At 51.7% G+C, this 16191-nt stretch overlaps 2 protein-coding genes across 17 annotated transcripts in view; one reads left to right on the top strand and one right to left on the bottom strand.

Annotated features, from left to right (window-relative positions):
- The window catches only part of MTUS2 (microtubule associated scaffold protein 2), a 685985-nt gene extending 680530 nt beyond the window's left edge, over window positions 1-5455 (top strand). For all 12 annotated transcript variants that reach the window (XM_047430227.1, NM_001384605.1, XM_011535019.4 and 9 more), the window contains 2 exons: window positions 605-702; window positions 2501-5455. In XM_047430227.1, the coding sequence (XP_047286183.1) occupies window positions 605-702; window positions 2501-2714 (312 nt within the window). In that variant the 3' untranslated portion in view covers window positions 2715-5455. The remainder of the gene's footprint in view (window positions 1-604; window positions 703-2500) is intronic.
- Window positions 5456-8921: 3466 nt separating this feature from the next.
- SLC7A1 (solute carrier family 7 member 1) overlaps window positions 8922-16191 on the bottom strand; it is an 86275-nt gene continuing 79005 nt past the window's right edge. For all 5 annotated transcript variants that reach the window (XM_047430551.1, NM_003045.5, XM_047430550.1 and 2 more), the window contains 2 exons: window positions 15646-15754; window positions 8922-14091 (listed from right to left, as the gene is read on the bottom strand). In XM_047430551.1, the coding sequence (XP_047286507.1) occupies window positions 13988-14091; window positions 15646-15754 (213 nt within the window). In that variant the 3' untranslated portion in view covers window positions 8922-13987. The remainder of the gene's footprint in view (window positions 14092-15645; window positions 15755-16191) is intronic.

Below are 16191 nucleotides of genomic sequence, written 5' to 3' on the forward strand. Positions count from 1 at the left end.
GGGATGATGGGATTTGGGGATAATGTACCCAGCTGCTCTTGCGCTTTGCATTCCTGGCTGCCTGTAGCCTCAAAAGGAAAAAGCGTGCTTACATTATTTAGATTTCCTCCCTCCATTGATTCAGAATGTAATGTCGTGCACGCAAGGCTGGCCAAGGATGCTGCTGCAGTGTGGTTGACCCTTTGGGAAGAGCCATGAGACCCAGTAGTCAAATGAGGTCCTAGTGGTATTCATGGCTTATCTCTGACAATGGCAAGGGCCTGAGGACATTCACTATAAGAAATACATTTTACATCAGAAACACACACACACACACACACACACACACACACACACACACACATTGATACATAATATATATAAAATAAAAATATCTGAAATTTGCTACCTACAGTGCACATGGGCATTTTCTATTCTGTTTCATTTAAAGAAGAAATGCTGGTCACATTCCTCTGACCTGATTTTAAAACCCACTAAAGCATTGCGAACTGATGTTTGCAAAATGCTGTTCTTGATAATCCTCCAATGCCCAGAGCTGAGGGCACCGGTTTACTCCCGATTTTATGGCCTTGCTAGAACCTCTTAAACACTGTTTCCTTTGTAGGCAGAAAAGAACATTATCCTAGAAGAAAAGATCCAGGTTCTCCAACAGCAGAACGAAGACCTCAAAGCAAGGATTGACCAAAACACAGTTGTCACCAGGTAGGTGGGCTGGGTGTCACCTACAAAGTGACTTTCCTCTTGAGCTTCTTTTTGTTGCAACATCCAGTTTCCCTCACTCTGGCCTGTGAGTCTTTCCCCACAGTCTCTTGCTGTTTTCCCCAAGACCTGAAGAACAAGAACAAACCCCTGCGGCCATCTTGCCTATTCCTGGCCACATATCAACGGGCCCCACCTTGAGAGAAATGAGTGAAATCAGCAAAAGTGTGCAGCAGGGTCCTCCTGCAGCACTGGGAGGGGAAGGGGTTTATTTTTGGAAGAGATTAGGAGAGGAGGGCCAGCTGGGTGTTCCCAGGCTAAAAAGAGAGCCACCACTGGCTGATACCCCAACTTCCAGAAATTCACAATTTCCATCCAGGTCTCGCCTGTCCCTGTGGGGCCACGCTCTGAGGTGCCCCAGCTTTCAAGGAAGGGTGTTCAGGCTCCTCCCTCACACAGCACAATGCGGGGATAAAGCAGGGTTTTGGCTTCATCAGCTGCTCTCCCATGAGGGCTGAGCCATATCAGTAAGACCCAGGCCTGAACCCTTGCCCACTCAACTCAGCTAGGCTCCTCAATGCTCACCCATGGTGTGTTACCCTTGCACACATAACTCGTGCATATGCATACACTCACATGCACTCACACAGGCACTGCTCACTCACACACACACTTGCATATTCCCACTCAGGCACACTCTCATACACTTACGCACACACTCATATACTCATACAATCCCTCACACCTATTCACATGCCCTGTTTGCACACTCACACGTGCATGCTTTTCTTCACATGTACATGCTTATTCTCACATGTACATTCTCTCACATACATACGCTCTTGCACACATGCATGAATGGACACACAGCCATTGCCCCCATAACTAAGCCCCTAGTGCAGGCATTTTGTTCTCACCTCAGAGGCACATAGGAAAGGCTGTGCTGGGGGCAGCAAGCTCTCTTTGCTCCGGAAGCTGCAAAGGTGCCCTTGTCAGCAGAGCAAGTGCAGACTTTATCCAACAGAGGTGATTTTTCTGGACTTCAGTCTGTCCAGCTTTAAAATGCATATGTACTTATTCCTGTCAGTTCCTCAGAGGTGCTGTCATTCTTCAAAAATGCAACAAAGCAAGCAATTCGGATTCATTTTTTCACCCACCAGCCTTTATCGGCAAACATTAACTGAGCATCTGTTACGTGCCTAGCACCAGCTGGATGCTGGGAGTTCAGCATGCAGAGCCTTGGCCTCTGTCCTCCGGAGCTCCCAGTCTAGCAGGCAGACACAGACCCCTAGAGCAGCATTTCCAGCAGGGGAGGACACCTGCCATCGTGGAGGCACAAGCCTGGGGCAGGGAGGCCAGGAGAAGGCACCCCCAGCTTCCTGGCAGTCTCAGGAAGGCCCGCGGCTCTTCACTGCTATTGTGCTGTTGTCATTGTCAATTGCCAGCTGCGCGGCTGTCTCTCCTTTCGGAGCTTCCGGGCAGCATACCCACTCCAGCTCTCCGCTTCCCTCCTTTCAGTCGCTGGCCTTTGCTCTGTCCAGTGGACAGCCAGTGCCTCCCCTGACCGGGCAGAGGGCCTGTGGGATGATGGGTATTGGCCAGAGAGGCTCTGGGAACAGATGTGTCATTGGGCCAAATGGAAATCATGATTCAACCAAAGTTCTTGGTCACTGGGTCACCCTGGTCCCTGTTCTCCCTGCGGTCATCATGGCCTCCTCCCTTTGCCCTGCACCATTGTCCTGACCTCAGGTTCAGTGTCCACTAGCATGATTGCTACTTATTTGTCATTGTGCCCATGCAGACAGCTGTCGGAGGAAAATGCTAACCTCCAGGAATATGTTGAGAAGGAAACCCAGGAGAAGAAGAGATTGAGCCGAACCAATGAAGAGCTGCTTTGGAAGCTCCAAACTGGGGACCCGACCAGTCCGATTAAACTCTCGCCCACATCTCCCGTTTACCGCGGCTCCTCCTCGGGGCCCTCCTCTCCGGCCAGAGTCAGCACAACACCCAGATGACGCCACTACACGGCCTGCGGGAGCTCCGGCTTCTCGTCCTCCGGTCTCCACCCTGAGGGAGCACCGACCCGGTGCCGCCGGAGCTGGCCCTGTGCGCATGCTCAGTAGCTGCGAATGCATCCTAGGCGCGTCCTCCTCTGATCCCCGTGTAAGACTGCCCTGGTGTCGGCACTTAGGAATGTGTAAATGGTAAAGTCTGATGTGCAAACGTTTTACCATAGTTAGAGCCAAAAGAAAGACACTTGCAATTGTTCTTGAGCAATGAACTTTCACTGCAGAATTTCAGGTTAGTTACAAAAAGCTCAGTTTTCAATATACATTGAATAATCATTGTGTACTGCACCGATATGTGTGTATATTTAGATATACGTATATACACATGCTGCGGTTCTGAATTTCATTTTTTATAACATGAAGTGCTGACATATTTTAGTGAAGGTCAGCAGTTTTCTAACTTGTGCCTAAGAATTATTGGGAAATGAAAATGCATTTCTATCTAGCTTCCCAGGAATATTTCTACCCAAAATAGAAAAAGGAAAAAAAAAAAGATACAGAGAAGAAGCGCCTTTCAACTCACCACCAAGTGGTACTCTCTTTAACACGAACACCAGCTATTTGTGAACGGTAACTGCCTTTGGAACAATCAGCTTCTCAGTCAACATGATGTGAGATCACTATTATTCCATTCGCAAGTTTTAATTATTGATACTCCTGTCATGAGCGGATAAGGGAGAGCAGTGGGAAACCCTAAGGGGGTTTAGCAGTTTTGCAGATGTTACCCATGACAGTGACTCATCTCTGATAGTCTTGTAAACACAAGTTTTGCTTTTTTCCTAAATGGCATCTCAGACTCGGTCATTAAGCTATTGTTGCACCCTCCGGAAAACATGGCAGAGCATGACCTTTGAGTAAGAGTGAGGATGACCTTGCAGATGACTGTGCCCATTCGCGCTCCATCCTCATGAAGGAAATTGCTGCCAAGGTCTGTATTTTGACCAGGCACAGAGGGGGAACATCACTCCAGCTTTCCATGTGGTTCACTCTGATGCGATGCTGTAAATGATCAACTCTTTGAAATAGGACCCTCAGGCCCCCATTTCCTAGCAGCCCCCCTTCAGTTTGGTTCTACAACTCAACCCCTTCACTGCACATTGAGATGGCTCAGGGGTTCTAGCAGGGGCTTCCAGAAAAAAAAAACACCATTTCTGTCCCGGGGGACCAGTTCTGAGCTGTGCTAGATCATCACACGACCACCCAGAAACCCACTTGCACTTCCTGCTGGATGATCAGGCAACGCTGCTGCTGACCGTGCTCCCATCTTAGACCCAGAAGGTTCTCCCAAACAGAGGAGCCCAGTGAAACAGCCAGCCAGGGGGCACCAGCTCCTGGACTGGCATCTGTCTCTAAAATGGTAGAATTAGGATATGAACAGTACTCATGTAGTGGTGTGGAAGATTAGGAGCATGATACACAAAAGGAAGAAGTAGTTTTAACAGATATGGTGATGATGATGATGCCCTTGTTTCCTGTATGTGACAAAGACCCTGCACTTTCTCCCTGAGACCCCCCCAAAATTGTCCTGAGCACAGGCCTGTCTTTGAGCGTGCCCAAGGCGAGAAGAACCATGAGGGGGTCCTGCAGGGGCCGGAGCCATGGAACGGGGAAGAAAACAGCCCGCGGACGGGGTCGGCTTGTCCAGGGCACGCCTGCTCGGCACACGTGTTGCCAACGTGAAGGCAGACATGGTCCCTGGCCCTAGGATGAGTCCACGCTGGGCTTCCGGGCCTCAGGTGCATCTCCAGCCAACCTCCAAGGGTCTTGCTCCTTCTGGGGACGTACACAGTAAATCCACATGGAAACACCACCATTTCTCTTTGCTTTAGTGGCTCTGCATGATACTGTGATATTGAGTTGGGCATTCCATTAGAGTAGATCTTGCCACATTGACTAAATACACAAGTATTTATTCTAGTAGCAGGCACAACCTGCAAACACAAATTCAGTTACAGCTTAGCTGTCCGAATTAGGAACCGCTTACATAGCCGCACCTGCTAAATGCAGTTACACAGCAATACTGACTTCCGTGTGATGCTAGAACGTGGTACAGTGTATTAGGCTGCTGTGGTCAGAGTTGTAGCATCGTTAGCACTAAGTAATTCCTCATTAGGTGGACTTCGGTGAGAGCTTTGCCCTAACCTGCCCTGACCTTGGGTACTTGAGCTAATTTCCACGTGGCCCTGGCTTCGTGGTTTGTTTGTTTTTTTTCTTTTGTTACGGACACCCATCATGTATGGCTCCTCATCTGAGCCATCACCGCTCCCGAAACACATGGGGCGGCAGCTGCTGTGCCTCCTTCTCAATTCTTCCACCCCCCCACACCATCAGAATTCGGATTTCTCTCCACGTGGCGTCTGCCTCTGTCCCCTTCCAGGCTGGAGCGACGTTTCCACGTTCGGATGCTGCAGCCTCTGCACCTGCCTCAGACAGACCCACCAGATACCACCTGTCTCTTCGTGGCATTTGGGAGATGCGTGGGCGGCCTGCCCCCCGACCGCCGCCCCTGCCCACCACATGCTGGGACAAGGTTCTGGCTGGATGTCAGAATGGATGGGGGTGGGGGCAGCCCTGGCCGTGATTAGTTGAATGAATGGGGTCACAACATCCCTTTTCCTGCCCCTACAGTTTGTGTTGCATATTTGTGTTTAAAGCCTATTAAAATAAACTTGAGGGACTTTCTGCGATATCTACTTGATGTAACTGGAGACCTGTCCCTCTCAGGCTGGGGATCCCAGGCAGGGAGGCAAGGGGGGTGGCGTTTGCAGGCTGGACCCCTTTTCTGTGTGTGCCGGGGTTGGGTGATGGTCCGTGAGAGAAGTCTTGTAGAGACCCCCTCTCCCCTGACTCCGCAGGTCCCAGGTCCCTGCGCCCACCCCTCCAGCCTGGGGGCTTGAGCAGCCCCTCCCCTGGACTTGGGAGCTCAGTGCCTCTGCTCTGCAAGGCCGGGTGCGCTGGAGTTGGCTGGAAGGAGGACATAAAAGGTCATTCACTCATTTCAACCTGAAAGTGCTTGCTCCCCCCATCCCGATGGCCTTCAGTTTGGGCTGCAGCCGGTTTAGCCAGCTGGACCTCGAAGTGTCCCACAGGTGTCTGGCACCATCACAAGGGAGACAGCTGGGTTCGCAGGTTCCCTGTGGTGGTTTTGCAGGGTCTGTGGGAGTGGCAGCTATTTCAGCGAGATCAGCAAGTCCCTCCTGAACAAGTAGTGAACAACAGACCCTTTGGAGACACAAATTCACTTCCGGACCTCACAGGGAACACCCCAGGGCCACCTCTGGGTCATCCCAGTATATCGATGGCAATCTAGTTATTAATAATCTATCTATCTGGCCACGTGTCCTAACCTGTTTGTTTCTTTTGGGGTGTCTTGAGCACCCTTCACTTTCATAATGACCCCCTCCCATTGTCCTTACCCCACCTTATGCGGTAAACAAGGCAGCTGGCAGCACCTCCACATAACAAAGGAGCAAATGGGTGGCAGCCACCAACACGAGCAGGAGGTGAGATTAGAGCCAGCTTTCCACTGTCCATGGAGAATGGTGTCCCCTTCCACGGCTCATTTGCAGTAGGCAGAGGAGACTCTGGAAGTCAACTCACTCACTGACCTCCTCTGTGCCAAGGAGCCCTGAGAGCTGGCTCTCCCTTCGTGGGAGACTTGCATCCCCCTAGCAAGAAGGGAGTTACGGAGTTAAGCACAGGTGGAAACCAAATGGTTGGACAGCTTCCCACCTGCGATTGAAGTTGAAGGATGTTCTCAAAGCCATTGCTGCATCAGTGTGTACACTTCGAGCAATGACTCTGGGATTGCACCCTGTCACCTCATCTGTAACCACCAAGTGGTGAGAATCCTGCCCACGTGAGAGTCTGTCAAATGCTTACATACACACACAGATACACACACACTACACACAATCCCGAAGGCTGGTAAGCCATTCTGGTGGTTAAGACAGAGCATGTTAATTCACTTAAATTAAATTTGCTAAATACATTTTTGTTAGCCAGTCTGCATCTTTCAAACCTCTTGCCCCAAACCTCATAAAATAAAACCAAGACAGACACCTGGTGTTTCTGAGGCCAGGCTTGGGTCACTCCCACCGCAGCGTGATGATGCAGGCCAATCTTCCTCACTCACTAAGTCGGGAAGCTTTTTCCAGTGCCAGCGCCAGGCAGGGTCGGGATGCCCTACAGCTCCGAGCTCAGACAGCCCTGTCCCTTGTATGTCTGCAGACCTCCTGGGTGCCCATGCCTCCTCCCTCTAAGGCACTCACACCACAGACACGAAGAGAGCACCTGCCACGCAGCTGCTGACTGTGCATAGCGGCTTCTCACATGACTGCACCGCCAAATTCACGCGGCAGGCACTGGGCTTCGTCCCTCCTCCTGCACTGTGGGAGCAGCGGTTCAGAACCAGCTGGCACTCATCATCAGGTGCATTGTTTTAAGGAGAATTTAAAAGCATCCATGGCAAAGTCCCACCCAGCACAGCTTTTTCTTCCCCACGCAGTCTCAGATCCACTGGGATTAAGTGCTCAGCCACACCAAGAGCCAAAAAGCTGTTCCCCTCATCAGCAAACATACTGCCTGTTTCATTCCTGAAGACTTTTCCTCACGTTGTGTTTTTTAAATGGCTGTATTTATGGCTGAGTGGACAGGCTTAATTTGGTAAAACTGAACTGTTCCCTTTGAACAGGGGTTGATGGGATTATCTGTAGTTGGTTCCAGCCCTCCCTGCTGCAGCCTCAGACCCTGCCCAGGTCTGTGTGGTGTAAGGGCTGGGCTGAAGTTGGAAGCCAGGCCAGCACCCCAGGCCATGGCTCCACAGGCTTCCTTGTTGCTGCGAATGCCATTTGGAGGCAGCTTTTGAATGACCAGAGGTGCTTCATAACCAAAATGTGCAAGGGAAAACTTTCTCCAGGTGGTACCCCTCAAGCCTACAGCCTGGCATCGCCCCACAGGACCTTGAGGAGCCACCGGTCAGGATTTTCGAAGAGAGTGCTGAAAGACTTGGCATGGCCTTTTCAAGCTGTCTGTGCGGCACCAAGCAGTAGCCACTAGGTGGCAGTGTGGCGCTGCAGGAACTGGGGTCCACCTTGCACTTGGCTCAAAGTCATCCTTAGGGACCAGAGGACACATACAAAAATCCAGGAACAAGGCATGCCCCATGCTTATTTCCCAGTTCTGGAATCTATCAGGCTCTCTGGGCTGCTTTGCGAAGCTGGCCCCTTTTGTGAATCAGGTTCTGCAGCAGCAGAACCTCCCGCAGTAATTACACTGGGCCAGAAACCACGCCCAACCTGTGTCCCAGGGGCACGCTGCACGAGCTTGCTTACCCACCACGCAAGCTCTGTGGTCTGGCTTTCTGTGTGGCCAAGGAACACGAAATGTGCATGATGCTTTCAGGTGCAGACGCTCATCACATATTCCAGATCATAGGCACGCTGGGGCCCGGAGAGCAGCTCGCCTGCCTTCCTCTCTGCACAGCTCCCTGGGTGTCTGCTTTCAGCACCATCCATCAGCTGACAAAACTCAAAGGTCAAACCTTATCTTCTGGGCAGCAGATCTTCTGGTATAGCTGCTGTGAATCACTGCCTTTTACTGTCTGGGAATTAAGGCTCACTTGACTGAATTTGCCTCTAGTGCAAAAATGGATCCTTTCTCAAGGGAGTTGAGGGAGTGAGATAGTAACAATTACCAGGATAGCTACACTCCCCGACAGCCCCTCCGCCCTGCATGCACTCTGCTCCCTCTAACAGGATAGTGTATGTGCAGGCCAGCACAGACTGGGGCGGCAACAGGTGAGGGCGTTTTGTTGCCAGAGACCAAGTCCTTCAGCAAATGCCTGACAACTGGCAGCCTCTGAGCTGCTTTATCCCAACAGCTTGGTTGGAAGGAAGACCTCTGTGGCCCCAAAGCCAAATAAATCTGCAGACAGTATCAGAGATCCAAAATGGGGGCTCAAGGGATTCTCTGGTTGAGGCTCAAATTGTTGGAATAAGGATTTTCCCCAAATGGCTACAGGAAAGTGAGAAGATAGGACTAAAGTCACGGGCTGTGGGGAAGCAGAGCGGGATCTGGAACTCTCCATGGGGCACTTCCAGGCCTGGGTCCCAGGAGAGACCCACTAGGATTCTTGAGATCACACCATGCACATGGAAGCCATAGAATTTATTCGAATTTGCAGAAGCATGAGATAATGTACCACAAAAGAGTTTGATTTTACAACATAAAGTATGGTAGGAAGTGGTCAATGTACACAGTGTTGTCAGCAAAAAGGGGAGGCAGGGCAGTTTCACATTTTTTGAAAGGTGGTGGACGACAACTACACTTGTCCTTAAAGTAAAATAAAAGCAGGAGAGACCCAGCAGAGACCAACCTGATTTGCAGTTAGCATCAGAATCTAAATCTAGTATCACAACTTTAAGAAACTAAAAGAAAACTATTAGAAAAATAGAACATCAAACAAGCAAAAAAATATACAAATGTACATAATAAAAAACACACAACTCTTAATAATGGCTCCATGTTCAGTAGAAGAAAATATTTACTGGAGAAACCACAGCTATTCAGGTTTGATAATAAACCAACCCTCATTGGTATCATTACCCTTAGTGCTCCTTAAACTCATTGAAGCTGAAAGGCACAACTTAAGCAGGAAACTTATCATCTTAAATATATATTATAACTTCTCAAATGGGAAAATAAGTCCCAAACTTAATAGTCTGTCATCAAGAAACACAAAATCATTTGCCTTGTTAATAAATTAACAGTCTGAGTGCATCTTTCCATCCTGCTTCCTGACCCTGCTGGACACACTAATAAATACCCTGAGAAAATCTTCTCTTTAAGCTTGGCCAAGGTACTCCATCTCCTGTGGGGTTTTCAGCTGGCACTCAGCACATTTGTAGAATGACCCAGGAGGGCTCCATGGCAACTGTGCCCCGAGACTCCAGGCCCAGCCGGGTCCCGATGGCGAGAGCGTTGTGGCTCAGTGAAGCACTGGCACAGAAAGGCTGGACTCGAGGAATCGAGGGGTGAAGATGGAGTCGGCTGACATTTTTTGCCTTAAAAATACATTAGGAGTCATAAGCGTGATGACACATGGAGTGTAGCTTCTTGCACCACTGGATCAACAGTAATCAATTTCATGACTCGGATAAGGTCCCCAGGAGCCTGGCAGAATGTACATCTCCCTCTCCCTTCAGAGCCTTACATATAATCTTCTCATGACGATGGCAAACAGATATATTTTAAATTACACGTAACAATTATACATAGTGTATATCCAGATCCGTCTGCAGGCGAACTCTGCATCAGTTCCACATATAAGCCTCACGCCCCCACCACCCTGCAATTTCCCCGTCCTCGGAACTGTCTCACGAGACCACCAGCGCACAGACACGAACATGCCTCTCACACACCCCAGAACGCAGCTGTGCTGGAGTTGGGCACAAAGGCCCCTCACTCCCTGTCTTCATGGTGTGGGTTCTTGGCTGCCAACAGAACTGTCAGCCTTTATTAAGAAGGAAGGGTCTGTGTAAAAATGGGATGTGTGAATCAGAAGAGGGGCCCTGGCACAGAGCCAGGCAGGCTTGCTTTAGCATTGAGTCCTGCGTCGCGCAATGCCCAGGACCTTGCCTGTTAAGTCTGGGTGGGGCCCCTATGGGGCATGTCCACGTGCCCCCCACCAGACTCATTGCCCTGTCTCCAGTCTCCACTGTGGGTTGGGCTGGAGGCCATGCCACGTGGGACTGCAAACACCAGCCAGTTCACAATGCCTGCTCCGTGGCAGGGGCACGGCAGGGAGGAGCTGGTATCATCAGCGTTTCCACCCATCTGAACAAAGGTGAGCGGGCCATGCACCCTTCCAGCTGTGCACAGGGATGTGCTGAAGGTGCAGGAGGCAGTGCGTCAGGGCCTTGGTGGCTGGGGTAGGTGGAGAAGCCCGCTGCCCCCACCATCCTGCGGTCACCCCTGGACTCGTATTGGATCCTGGCCACTGTGCTAGAGTCAGCACAAGGGACCAGGTGGCTGGCTGCCTGAGAGAGAAAATAAGTCACAGTGGAAAGAGTTTTTACTGCTGCAAAAACCAAAAGTGGGGGGAGATCTCAGCAATTCTGACAACAGTATACATTTAGCGACCTTTCTGAGACAGCCTGGGGAAAATGCATCTATCACTGTCCTCTTGATTTGGAAAAATAAATCCGATGCATAAAGCCTTGGACAAGGGTGTGTGAGCAGGGATGATAAGTAGAGTGGGGGGTGTGTAGAGGCCTGGTCTCCTCCGGACGGTGCCCCTCCCAACTGCAGAGCTGCCCTCCTGTAAGCCGGCTCCCGAGCCAGCTGCCAACAAGGCCCCCACTGCCTCCCTGGAGACCCACTTCATCCCCCTCTTCAGCAGAGGTCCTGAGGCAGGGGGGTGGAGATCTGCTGGGTTTGCTGCTTCATGAATTTGGGCCTTCGGAGGTCATGAACACATGCAGGGCAGTCACAGGGGTTGTGGGAGACAGGAAGGGATGTTTACCCATCACAAATGGGTCTTTCCAATGTGGGTATTTGTGGCTGGTGCACAGATAAAAGTAGACACAATACTCCTTGGTGGGTGTGCCTCTAGTAATGTGTAAGTTCTGACTATGTAGGAAAATCCTGGCCAGTGGAACTAAGAATATTCTTGTTTGGGCAAGGGAACTAAGAGATGTGAAACTATCATTTTTTTTTTGCTTGTGTGTATTTTTATTTCAGGGAAAGAAATGAGGGATATGATAAGAAAAAGTCTATTAAAATTGTAAGGCTTACTCCAGACACCATTGCTTAAATCACTCCCCTCTCACACAGAGAGAAAACCCCTGGCAAGTGCACAAAAACACTACTCATAAAAGCACGGTGACCAGTGAACTATTATGCAAGGCACCCCCACGTGTCCTTTCCTAACCAGGAAGCCCGTCCTCTAAGGAGGGGGCATGGGTCCCATCCCTGCCCAGCCTAGGCGTGCTTCTGTGTCCAGCTTTAAGGCCTCTGCGTGAGGAAGGCCACAGACTCCCAGCTGTCAGCACGCTGTCATGATGAGACTTGGAGCAGGGGAGACGCACCTTCTCAATCTACAAAATGAGCCATGGCGCCCATTAAAATGTCAAATGTCAACTCTAAATAGTCTATTGGGTGCTGTCTTGCACGGAAATCTCAGCCAGAAAGAAAAACTAGAGAAAAGAAAAAAAAGAAAAAAGCAATTCTCTCCCACCACTTCACTTTTCTTGGAGACTGTCTATCCCTCGAATTCTCTTTGCCTATGTAGAAAATAACGGAAAAAAAAATCAAGCAAATAACTACCAGGTCCTAAGACAAGAGACAACCAAAACCCCAACAAAATAAGTTAGTATTTATCAAAATATGTTACAACACCAATCTCCATAAATGTCAATATCACTCTTTGGAAATCGGAGCTCTGGGCTCTTATGATGCTCCCTCTGGAACATTCAAAATGAGATCAGAATAAAGCTCCCAGCAAGGTGAGCAGGCCTGATACGGAGGCTCAGCCCATGGCCATCCACCCGCCCTCCACCGCCGTGTTCACAAATTCTTGCACTTCTCTCCAAGAACCTTCTGGGGGCACAGGGAGGGTACAAGTGCCCTCAATTTATCAGGCTTCTTTCTACCAGATTTGTGTCAAAGGCCAGACTAGGAAGAAATGGAAAGGAAACTAAGTTTTGAAAGCAGCATTTCCATTTCCCCTGGTGTCCAAAATGCCCACATCCCTCCTCCTCCCCCATCAGCATGGGCCTTCTGTCTCCTGAAGTAGACTCAGTGGAACGCTCCACCCACGTTCAGGTTTCCTCTGGCTCCCATCTACAAGGAGTGTGTGTGAAATGGTGCTGGCCGCAGGCCCCGACCCAGGCAAGACGGGGGTGGCGTGCACTGGAGCTATGGGGGTGGGGAGGATGCTCGGGTCTCTCCCACTTGCAGAGGCGTGGGGTCCGAAGCATCCGGATGACAGATACACAAAAGGGACAGCAATATGCCTAGAAATCACCTCCCCTGCGACCCACGCATCTCAGCTATAGGACAGCCGCAGGGGTGATGACATGGCCATTTCCAAGTTAATGTTATGCCCTAACTTAATCTGGTGGAGTGTCACAATTTCATGGACTGTGGATTGATTTCAATTTCATCATGTCACAGAGAGGCCAGACAGCTTATGTCAGGGCCAGAAACGCATGACCCCGACATGTCCTGACCCCAGACTGAGCTGCCACCAGCCTTGAGAACCTTACAGGAGCCACCAGACTGGCTCCAAAGCATGGGAGGGCAAGACTGAGTGAACGGTGGCGACTCACAGGAAACAGACTTCTGACTCGGCCACCATGGGGCCAGTCCTGCAGATACTGTCTCATGTTCCAGTTACTCAGGACACAGCCAGTCGGGGGAGACGGCAGGAGCAGCAAGAACTGGCCCAGGCCTGGAGGCCGTGAGCTGAAGGTCCCTGGTTTACATGCATGTGCACACACATGCATAAGCAAAGCAGGCCCTAATGGGAGTGATCCCTTCTTCCTCATTTGAGTGGAGCCAGCTGCCCTCAGCCCCGGGCAGCTGTCATGGTGTCAGAGCAAAGCCCTGAGAAGCCAAGGGGCAGGCAGGGTCCGGCCCTAATGACCCATCTGAATGCAACCGGAGAAGGACAACAGGCCTGATTTTCCTTTTTAAGTGCACTACTGTCATTTGGCTCTGGGGTGGGGAGCTGCTGGGGACACACTGTTTTGTGGTACTCATCTGGCTTGATTGCTGGGTGTCTGGGGCTGAGCGGGAAGATGGCTGCGAAAGTTTGGAGTATGCACAATTTCAATCCCAGAACAGTCCCCGGGAGGAAGGCCTGGTTCCCAAGATAAGGAGAGAAGGTGACCTCCGTTCTGCCTGAGGCTGCGGCAGCTCGGGGCTGAGCTGGTAGGGGAGGAACTGCTTTGTTCAGAGAAGTGAGGAGACACAGTGGCCAGCCGCAGCCTAGTGGCCCCGGCCAGGCAGCTGTCTGGAGGTGACCAGGGCCCGGAGAACCGGCTGCAGAGCCGAGGGTGGGCTGGGGCTGCAGGTCAAGTAATTGCACCTTTGGCTGCAGTGAGGGTGTGGACGCAGGTGGTTTCTGTTGCACTGGTGGGGAGGGTGGGGTGCCTCCCGGTCCTCTGGGGGCGTCCCTCGGGGCTGCTGCCACCTCCGGGGGGCGGGGCTGTGCGTCACTTGCACTGGTCCAAGTTGCCGTCAGGAGTCCTTGCTTGGTCGGCATCCAGGGACGCCTCCTCGCTGTGCCACAGGCCATAGCCAAAGTAGATGATGAAGCCTGCGGGCCGACAGCAGAGACGGGCGTGAACAGACCGCCGGTTGCACCACCGCAGGCAGGGCTCAGAGCCCAGGGCGGTCCCACAGCAAACCCTCTCAGGCGGCCTGCCCCTGCCTGGCATGAGCCCGCAGCCAGCGGCCCCTGTGACCTTTCCACATCTGGAGCAGCTGCCACACGAAGGCCACTGTCTGCTTCGACATCTGGCAAAGCCCTACGTTCCTCTGGACGGCCTTATGCTGCGGTGTTTCCTGAGCAGACAGAGCAGCTGGGCCAGGGCCACCAGAGGCCATCGGGTCCTTCAGCTTAGCCCCCTGATGCCCCCGGAGGCCACGAGAGTATCGAGAATGTGCACTATGGAGATGGGGTTTCCCGCAGGTGCTGGAGGTCTCCAGGCTCTCAGCCTGGACAGTCCCACTGCCCATTTCTCCACATAACTGAGCGTCAGACTGCAGGAGACACTGAGCCCCAGGAATGGACTTCACATAGGAGTCCACAGCCTGTTCCTGCACACGGGACTCCAGGGTGGGTCCAGGACCTATGCTTCTTACCACCTGCCCAGGGGCTGGGGCCACCTTGTGTGGCTGACACAGGAAAACAGGCCTTAAAGCAAGGACTCAGCCACCCACAGCCCAGGAAAGGAGCTCAGGCTCCTGCACACAGGGACTTTGACAGGGATGCTGGGAAGAGGCGCCCCTCTGCCTTCACCAGGCCTGGAGGAAGTGGCCAGTGAGCTGTGAGCAGCTTTTTCTCAGAAAGGCTCTAGGAGACGTCTGTCTAACAGGCTGGACTTTGCAGGGAATGAGGACCCACCCGGCTGCCAGCAGACAGTGGGCCGCAAAGTATTTCCTGGAGGAAAAGCACCCCTCGAGGGCCCTGGGAGATGAGGCAGCAGCCATCTGCCCGTAGCATGCAAACTCAGGGCTGCGAGGCTGTAGGGACATGGTCCTGAGGGGCAATGGCCAGGGCCACTTTCCTGGCTATCAGCACTATGACTCAGATGCTGAGGGGAAGGAAATGAGATCCTCCCCTCCAGCCCCTGGGGTGAGATGCCCAGAGGCGTGGGACTACAGGCTGCACCCACCCCTGGTGATCTATCTCATGTGGAAGCTCCCCACCCTAGTGGCATCTCCCATAGGCTCCAAAGCACTCTCCCTCCACAGAGAAGACGCAATCACAGAGGAGCCCATGACATCCACCCTGCCTGGGCCTAGTGCCCGTACCAATTTGGTGCTGGGCAGGCCAGGGGGCCAGGAGGCACAGGCCAGACTTTCCTGTCTGGGGTGAAAATAACTGGTACCTTATCTGCAGCAGACTCATCACCTTGTTCCTGTTAATATCAAGGTCTTGCCCAAAAGAATAAATAGTTTGGACAAGAAGCAATGGAAACAAAAAGTATCTAACAGGGAGGAGAGGACTCACAGCCTACCAGGGATTCAGCATTATCTTCGAGAAAGCTGCTGACTGGATGTGCGTCATTCTGTTATGAAATCTGAAACAAGGGAGACCCCCAGGGGAAGCCAGGATCTTGGACGTGCTGGCAGCAGCATCACATACCTATCAGCATCCACACAGCAAACCGGACCCAGGTGCCCTGGTCCAGCTGCATCATGAGATAGACGTTCACGAAGATGCTCAGGATGGGGAGCACTGGCAGGAAGGGAACCTGAAGAGACAGGAGGTGGCTTCAATCCATGGCAGTGGCGCCGGTTCCAATAGTTCAGTAAAACTGTCTAGTAAAGGCAGCACAACTGAGAGTGACAGGGACCGTCGGGCGAGTGTGGGGAAGAGAGAGGGAGTGCCCACCCCCACTCCCACACCCCACACACAGCCCGCACCCAAACACACACACAAACACACCCAAGGGTACATCTTAGTAGGTGGGGATTTGATTCTAAGCTCTGAATGGCCAAATGAACTCCATTCTCATTTTTCTCTGTTGCGATTCTCCTGCTAAAGAAAGGACTAGAAGACGGACCTCCACTTTACCTCTAAGGTCAACAACCTTTTTTATTATTTGTGTAATCTAAAAATGCAGAAGCCTTGCCCGTCTCCAAGGCTTGGAAAACTCATGCATCAACTTGAGCAGACATTTACGAGAAG

This window comes from Homo sapiens, chromosome 13 (genome assembly GCF_000001405.40).
Source record: "Homo sapiens chromosome 13, GRCh38.p14 Primary Assembly".
Lineage (NCBI taxonomy): Eukaryota > Metazoa > Chordata > Mammalia > Primates > Hominidae > Homo > Homo sapiens.